Below are 9,173 nucleotides of genomic sequence, written 5' to 3'. Positions count from 1 at the left end.
ATTGTTCTTTCAAATAAATAGACATAATTTTATAATTCACTTATCATTATGATGATTACAATAATTGGAATGATTCTTCCCTTCTCCAGCTTGTTAAGTGCTAGAGACATCATTGTGTCATAAATTAGAAATATTTCATAATAAGAAATATTTGATAAAACATGCCAAATCCTTTTCAAATACTCTTGAATTAATTCTCAACTTTCTAAGCCAAAATAGTATAGAGTTAGGGAGCTTAATGGACTAGGATAGAAATGCTGTATTAGAAACATGAACACCAGTGTTTCTCTAAATGGTGTAATGATGGAGACATGAGCTTTTATGTTCTGAAAGCTGTGCTTTCAAATACTGTGCTTCCCATATGCAGCTCAAAGCATTGATGACTCCATAGTCTATATTAATCAGAATTATCTAAGGCTTCTTTAAAAATAAAGAAAGAATTATTCTGACTGAGTAAACTTATTAAATCAGAGTCTCTTTGAGTATGACTCCACGATCTGAGTCTTAAATATCATGATAAGTGATTTTCATTCAACCTGAAATGTACACTCACAACACTAGAAGAAAACACTAGATAACCCTTTGCATAGGCAAGTTATTTTATCTTGTGGAATGGTTCACCCACTATGTGCTGCCACCACGAATAGTCTAGGTTCTGGTGCTAACAGAGCCTGGGTAAAACGGTAAAATCTTATCCAAGATCAAATACAGGGATGACTCAAACATTATATATGAGTACTGTAACTTCTTGAGAGTACAAGTCCTTGAAGCCTTTCAGGAATAATAATGATAATAATAATAATAATAATAAAAACCTCAGCCAAGACACGTGAGCAAGGGCAGGTTCACCTTTCATTCAGAAGAATTACGGAGGCAGCTGTATTCTTGAGAGCGTGGAGCAAATACTTCCGTCAAAGTGCCTCCATTAATCTTACTGGACAGCCCTCTGAAACTTTCATCTGATGGGCAACTCCATAATTATAGAAGAAATAAATAGTTCCTTGTGGAATTTGAGGCATATGCTTTAAGGAATCCTAGTAAAGCTAAGGAGAATGAATTTAGTAACATAAAGATACATTTCAGTGATGATTACACAAAAGGCATTTTCTATTCATGTTTAACCCCAATCTTCAAACTCTTTGGTATTCACTATTCAGTATTTTTGCCTGAAATACAAGATGAAAACAGTATTTATACATCATAGAGCTTAGACACAGTTTAGATTAAATCCAGTTCTCATAAGTTTCCATTGCAAATTACCAAAGGATTTTAAATTAAATTGTTAATGTGCCTCTCTCCTCTTGGTACTGAATGCCCTTATGAATCTTCTAGGGACCTGGGATGGAGGGCATGTGTGGAAATGTTCTTTGTAGTACCTTTTTTCTGGGTTTAATTTGCACTTCATACAACGAGTACAGTCATTATGTTTTTCCTGGGAGAGCTAAAACTAAATTGTAGCAGTATGTTTAGAGGGAAACACATTTAAGCTATTTGAGTGAAGATAAATAATGATTTGTGGCCAATCTAAAAAGTGTGCTATGTTAAAATAGCTTAGGTGTTCTTATTTAAGGATAACTGAAGAAGCTTACAGTTTTGAAATATTTTGTCCTGAATCATTGGTTTCTGATGGACATTTGAGGCATCTCTGAGAACAATGTTTTTAAAAGTTCCCCTTTAAAAGGCATAGGAGTATCAACTGCATTTATACTAGGTGGTGATGACTTTCTCAGTTCCTTTGCATTAGATTTTTTTGATTATCAGAATGTATTATAATTTTTTTCTTATGAGAAAACATAAAATCTGTTTGAGTTTAAAATAATATTCAACCTACATTGATCATCTAAAATATAATATTAAATAAATGATGTGTGATATAGAAAGACGAATAAGATAAATTCTCCTGACTTCAAGGAGCTTGTGATTCAACGGCCTCCATAATACCTATACTTAAATAAATGTGAAGCAGTGGGGCCATGAAAAATTGTCCTAAGAAGCATAGAGAAGTGATCCAGCGGCTGATCAAAAGAGGACACGACAGAGATGGCTCTCAGGAAAGTAGTAATGTAGCTTTTGTTGATGAAATCCCAAAGACACCGAAACTCCTGGAGTCTTTTTCTTCTTGATTTTTAAAGGCTTACATGTAGTTTAATCAAATGCTTGGGTGAAAATACTGAAAAACTAGAAGGGAGAAAAGGGGAAATAGCATTTAACATAGCATATAGGTGCTATGCACATGGGTCATGGCAGAAATGATTTGGGTACAAAGACCCTACCTAATCCCCCTACAAAGCTCATGTAGAAACTACCACCTATTATATATAGAGAGAGGGAGAGAGAGAGTTCTGTATTTATGTATATATAAAGAACTTAGAATTTACTTGGTACTTGAAATAAATTGGCCTTGATTTAGAATCTTAATTCAGAACTTTCTGAATCTGCATCTTCACTACTTTTGTATAAAACTTTGTCAAAAAGAGGAAATGAAACAAGGAAACCCTACCATTTTAGCCATCATTGTTAAAAATTATCTTTTTATTTTCCCTGAACCTGGTAATAACTCATTTGCATTAAAGAGAACATTCATGTAGCTATTTCAGTTCCAACATCATAATGGAGGGATTCTTTGAGAAAAAAAAAAAAAAAACTACAGATATGGAAAAGAATTTACTTGAACATAAGGACAATTAACCAAAATATTATTATAAATTTTTCCATCATTTAAAAGGAAGGCTTTGTAAAGAAAGTTGCATGTAATGCATAAATCTGTTATCAATGCAGATAACTTATAATCCCCACTCTGAAGAGAATATGTTTCCAAGGATTGTTTTATATATCAGTGACAAGAATTCTTTTGGAACAGGAGAAGGGAGTGAAGTTATAGTACTCGTTAGCTAGGACTTCTCTTGGTGCCAAAAGAAAAAATAAAAAATGATCCCTTGACTCTTTTGGTTAGGAGGGTCAGGATCAATTCTAGAAAGTCTTATAATCTGTATAAAAATAGTTCGTGACACAATTTGATTATGCTAGCTTGTGTTAGACATCCTTCCCACAGGGTGGTAGTAAATCTTATTAAGTAGTAAGTATTCTTATTTCTCATTACAACAATGCCAATATTTTTCTTCATCAAGCTACACCTCCAAATACAGCTGTAGAAATCATAAGAAGTTGAGAAAAATGTGCATTTAATAACGAGAAATTTCATAATAAATATTATAAAACTCCACATTAATAAGTTATATGATATATATGGATAAAAAAGACAAGTAGTATATATTAATTTAAAAACAAAACACCTGATTTTGATGTGTGGTTTGGCACTCTAATAATTATTTCTGGCACATGTATCAACATAAATATTTAAGTGTTTAAAGTAGTGAATCATTCAAACTTAAAAAATATGTTTCCTTTTAAGATCCTTTGTGTAAATTGAACAAGGTTATTTGCTAATGGCCTTTAAAGTGCCTGAAAATAAAGTTTGTTAAATTTTTGAGGAAGGGAAACTAGATTGTATGCGTGCTTTTTTTTTTTTTTTTTTTTTGAGATGGAGTCTCGGTCTGTCACCCAGGCTGGAGTGCAGTGGCGTGATCATGGTTCACTGCAACCTCTGCCTCCTAGGTTCAAGCAATTCTCCTGCCTCAGCCTCCTGAGTAGCTGGGACTACAGGAGTATGCCACCATACCCAGCTAATTTTTGAATTTTTAGTAGAGATGGTGTTTTGCTAATATTGGTCAGGCTGGTCTTGAACTCCTGACCTTTGATTCACCTGCCTCGGCCCCCAAAAGTGCTAGGATTACAGGTGTGAACCGCCTCACCCAGCCAATTGTATGTTGTCTTCTTGAAATGAGATTTAAATATTTAACTATTTTCTGTTTTTTCTGACACTGGTATATGAACAAATGTAAAGGTTTTGAAGGGTAATATAGTCACTGACCCCTCATGGAATTCTTACTTATAAGAGTATGCAGTTCAGTTTTGGATTTCTATATATTTCAAATCAGGTGCAAATATTGTTATTTTATTACCCAGTGAACCTACCTGTTCATCTCAAGCAGCTGTTGGAAGGTAATGACTCCTAACTACAGTCCTCAGCCAGAGTCTAGCCAATGGCCTTTGGCAAATTTCCCCAAGTACTCAATTGAGGAGATACTTTGGTTTTAATTTTGGGAGATTTATGTTGATTATGTCATAGTAGTAAATACATGAATTTAAAAAAATAATGAACAATACCATTTATGTAAATTCACTCACTTCTATGGAGCTCATGAAGAACTCGAGGTGAAAAGGGAGGTATTGGAAATGGCAGAAGAGTAATCTGTGTGTGCTCAGAACTGAAAATGTGGAGTTAACGTTGCCAAAGCAACTTTTGGAGTGACATTCTCTTTTGTTTTTTTCTCAAACTTAAGCACTCTTTGAGGATTATATATTTTGTGGGTAAGGTTAGGAGTTAAAGACTTTTCTAAATGTTATTAAGTATACTTCAAAGGAATATATTTGCGCAGTTTGAGTAAGGAATGATTAAATTTCATGATTCTGTCTCATTTGAGGTCAAAGATACTTGTGTTTACACATGTATGGATTTAACTTTTATACATGTACATATACACCTTGTTCAAATTAAAACATTATAGGTGTTTTTAGTGAGGGCACAACATAAACAGTTTAAAACTTTTGGGAATAAATGACTACATTTTGTTGTAATTAAGCAATACAATGGAAACAGAAAAAGGGGATGGTCAGTGCTCTGGTTGATCAGTGGCCAGCCAGGTTCTGACTTCATTGACACATTTCATGGAAAGGGTGTTTTAATGAAGGATAGAATTGTAAATAATTCATTCCATGCTGTGAGGTTAACCACAAGCCTCTTAGAAATCAGAAAACTTATTACTCCTGCAGATGTGCTGGAACTGAGAGCAGGGATTGAAATTCTGAAAACACTCTAGTTTTTCTGACTTGATTTTATTGTGAAGCATACTTCGGTTAAGTGGCCAGATTTTCTTAAGTATACATAGAAATAGATTTCTTTCTGCTTTTTTGAGAAAATTTCTTTTTATTGGCATTCCCACAATATAATTGGGCTAATTTTAAGTGATAAATGCTGAAAGTGTAAATATGCCCTGTGTTTGTGCCGCTTCCTTTAATAAAGTTTTCATGAGGAAGTCATCCCCAGTGTTAAAATTTCTATTTCTATTGTGATATTCTGCATCTCACCTCTTAGCTCAGTGGATGTGGAGCCATCATTATCACAATTAGTGAGTCAGGAAAAGGGTTTTGAAACATTTAATGTTCTCTCTCTTTCCCCTTATTTTCTGTAACACTTGGGCACTCTGCTCTTTAAAATTGGTGACAATAATAGTTGTGTGGATAGCAGCTTGGTAGTTCTGAACTACCTGAGGGCCTGAGAAAAGGGACATATTGGAATCAGTTATATAGAAAACAGAGGAAGAAAAAAATCTCTTCTGGTTTTTGAGTATCAAAATTTTAAGCAAGGTAATGGATATGTTAATTACCTTGATTTAATCATACCATATTGTATACATATATCAAAAGATCATTCTGTACCCCATAAATGTATACAACTATGATTTGTCCATTAAAAAATTAGTCCCTGAGGGAAACAGAGAATAACAGAGTAGATTCAAGTATAACAGTGAAAACTGTATGTTGAGGCAGAGAAATTATTTCCATTATGAAGTTTAGGTAGATTCTCTAGGATTGGGGAACAACCTGAAGAATGAGAGAGAAAGCAAGATGGAGTGCTTTAATGTCTACCTGCCCTCACCTCTCCTTTCCATCCCTGACACTCTGCCCTACCCCCAGCCCTGCTACTCCAAGCCACTGGGAATCTCAGTCTAGCATGGCACGAGGTGACAGATGTATCTCAAGGTTGCAGTCCTGAAGGATTCTGTGGTTAGGGAAGAAGAGTGACTAAGCATCAGCCTCAATGAGTCATGAGCAGGAAGTGGAAGGCATGGTGATATACCTCAAGCCAGTATGGTTAGATGATAAATGACATCTTGACAATTAGTCATCTCTCAACAACTTAGATGCATGCCTGGGGAATCAGGAGAGGGTTTCCTGAGTGATATATAATTTTTTTTCTTTTACCCATTACCAAAAGACCATTATGAAATGATACGTAATTTTGTACAATCTTGTAGAATGTGAGCTCAAGAAATTGGATTGAATTATGGAAATTTTAAAAATATTTTCTCTTTTACACAGGAGTTTGTGGCCTAAAATTGTGGCATGGTGATTGAACAATTATGGCATTAAAACAAAGGATATAAGAAATTAATCTGTAAGCTCTAATATGTTATGAAAATTGACTGCTTAGGTAAAAGAAAAAGACTGGTATATTTATAGGTAAAGTGGAAGCTAGACATAAAATGGCATGTCCACTTCAGAGAATAAATCAATTCTCTGCATGAACCATCACTTTATGTAAGAAGTTATAGGAAATGGATTTTTAAAAAACAGGATTCTATTTTTTTAAAATAAGAAAATATAACAATATCCATATAAATACTGTAAGATACACTGAAACATTCTTAGCCTCATTTGCTGAACCTATATCTTTTCATACTTTTCCATTTCAATTGTAATGTATTCAACCATTGTGAACACCAAACTCTAATGTGCCTTTTCTTCTTCCCAGCAGACATAGTATATTTCCCTGGGACATTTTTTTTTTTCTGGATGCCTTTTTCATAACTTCTCCCCTTTAATCAAACTTTTGGTACCTCCTGATTTATTCTCAATTTAACAGAAATAAAAGAGGAAGCCAGATCTCCTATAATCTCGCACCAGGTTACTTAGTGTCTCATCATCTATGACTATACACTCTGCTACTTTGCCTCTTACTGTGGATGTATTCTTCATATTCAAGCTACTATTTATACTTTTGCACTGAATCCTTTCCCTCTTACCTACTCAAAGACCACATTCCAGCAATCCTCTCCTTTCTTGCTTCATTAATTTTCTTTTTATTACTGGATACTTTTTTTTTTTTAAAAAAAGCAATAATACCCTCAAATTAAAAACAAAGAAGAAAACTCAAAATCTTCTTTGACCTCTCTTCCCATTTCCATCTAGCTATTCTCTAATTTCCTTGCTCTCTTTTAAAGCATATTTGACAGCATGGAAATCTGCATTCACAGTTAGTAATTACTCTCATTCTCTTATGGATTATTCCAATAAGGCTTTCTACTTACCTATCCACTCCGTAGAAATTGCTCTCTTGTCAAAGCCATTAATGTCTAGTAGCATTAAACATTAATGGGATTAATGGGATTCAGCAAAGGACCCCATGGTTGGTTCTCGGTCCCCTTCTCCTTTGACTTCTCTTAACATTGGACCCAGTGAATTCTTTCTCCTGTTTGGAAGTTCATTTTCACATGCACTCTACTTTGCCTTCTACCTCACTGAGCCCTCCTCAGTCAAATTTTCAGAAAAACAAAGGAAGAAGAAAAAAGCTCAGAAATTTTCCACACAGTTCATTTCAATTCTTTTGATTATACGAAAGAATGTCATTATTAACAAACCTAAATTGCAAACATTTGCAATAAAGTCACCATGTGCTTACTTAACTTTAATCAAAATTTCAAATATTAAACTTTAGTTTCTATTTGATGAACTTTAGAAAAAAAGGGTGGTATTATTTTATATCCTGTTTTTTTTTTCCTGATGGCTTTTGTTTTTATAACATTGAGTTTTAAAAGTTTGTAAAATATACCTTGTGACAAAGAATCACAAAATTAATTCAGGTATTTTAAGTGAAAGTTGAAGTGAGGAATATAAAAAATGTTACACATGCTACTAGTGATATCATTAACAATTTAGGATGTGGAAAAATGATAAATTCATATGATACTAATTTAGAATTTGGATCATTTGTAAAAAAAAAAGTAGCTTGCCAAAATAATGATAATAATGTAATTGAACTTTGAGGGGAGCTGTTTTTCTTCAAGAATAAAAGATAACATTTTAAGTTATCTTTCTGTGCCTGGCTATCAAAATTACTATTGCTTTGCTGGCAAAACTCTAAATTTTCAAAAGATATTTTGAAATATATATTTATTACATTATTCCTTTTATTTATTGATTGATTTAAAACATATTCTTTTGTAGTGACAGGGTCTCACTACGTTACCCAGGCTGGTCTCAAAATCTTAGCTTCAAGTGACCCTTCCATCTTGGACTCCCAAAATGATAGGATTATAAGTGCAAGCCACCACTTTTTTTAAACTGAGCATTCATCTCAACCTTAGTTTGCGTTATTTTTTGTAACATCTACCCAAATGAGTCTCAATAAATGATCTGATTTCCCCTTATAACGTTGTACTAGTAAAACAAAGAGGCCTGGAGAAGTGAAACACAAATATAATGTCCATTTAACTTTATTAGCAATGCCTCCTTCAAATAATGCTAAACACTAGCTCGACTTAGCTTAAACGTCAAATAATTTATTACCTGATGTAATAAAAAGCTTGAAGGTAAGGCAAACTCAAGGTTAGTTAATCAAGGTTGGTTAATACTCACAGTTGCTATTTCCATGACCTCATTAACAACCCAGGCTGTTTTCACTCAGCACTAGAAGTATTAGTTACCTTTATGGTTGCAACATTATCAGAGGAAATTTAAATATCCCATCTTTAAAAAATAACATGCATATGCAGAGAAACTTTTTTTTCCTTTTATCAATATTTAATGGGAAAAAGAAACTTTCACGGGATCTCTCCAGTAGAATTCTTTTTAAATCACTTTAGTCAAACAGAATGTGACAATCCTGTTTAGCACAAGTCAATCGTTATTTACACAAATCAAATGAAGAAGGGATGAAGACCAGACAAAAAATGAGGACTCTACAGATGCGAAGGAAGAAGAAAAAGAGCTGTTGAATAGGCAACCCACAGGGAATGTTGCTGGTAGGAATGAAACCATGTGCCAAAGAAATTAGTCTACTTAATAAAAATAATCTTCTTACATCTTAAGTTAAATACAATACACTTAAAATAAACCCATCAGAATGTACTTTATTTCGTTTTAATTGGCCATTAATTAAGTGTACCTTTGAAATATTAATAAATTATAATTGTAAATACGTCTTATACTTTCTCAAAGATTCCTATATTTGTGCAAGTCATTACAGAATGGCAAGTATTTGCATAGGTACT

At 33.5% G+C, this 9,173-nt stretch overlaps 1 annotated feature.

Moving 5' to 3' along the window:
- Positions 5,325-6,524: an enhancer, noted in NCBI's record as "P300/CBP strongly-dependent group 1 enhancer chr4:127771052-127772251 (GRCh37/hg19 assembly coordinates)". NCBI's record gives its function as "activates an origin of replication core promoter dependent on BRD2, BRD4, P300/CBP, MED14 and CDK7 cofactors, with strong dependence on P300/CBP, by STARR-seq in HCT116 cells {active_cell/tissue: HCT116}" and the evidence as "EXISTENCE:reporter gene assay evidence [ECO:0000049][PMID:35650434]".

This window comes from Homo sapiens, chromosome 4 (assembly GCF_000001405.40).
Source record: "Homo sapiens chromosome 4, GRCh38.p14 Primary Assembly".
In the NCBI taxonomy this organism is placed as follows: domain Eukaryota; kingdom Metazoa; phylum Chordata; class Mammalia; order Primates; family Hominidae; genus Homo; species Homo sapiens.
Note: the sequence above shows the minus strand (reverse complement) of the source record. Positions and strands in the feature narration are given on the sequence as shown.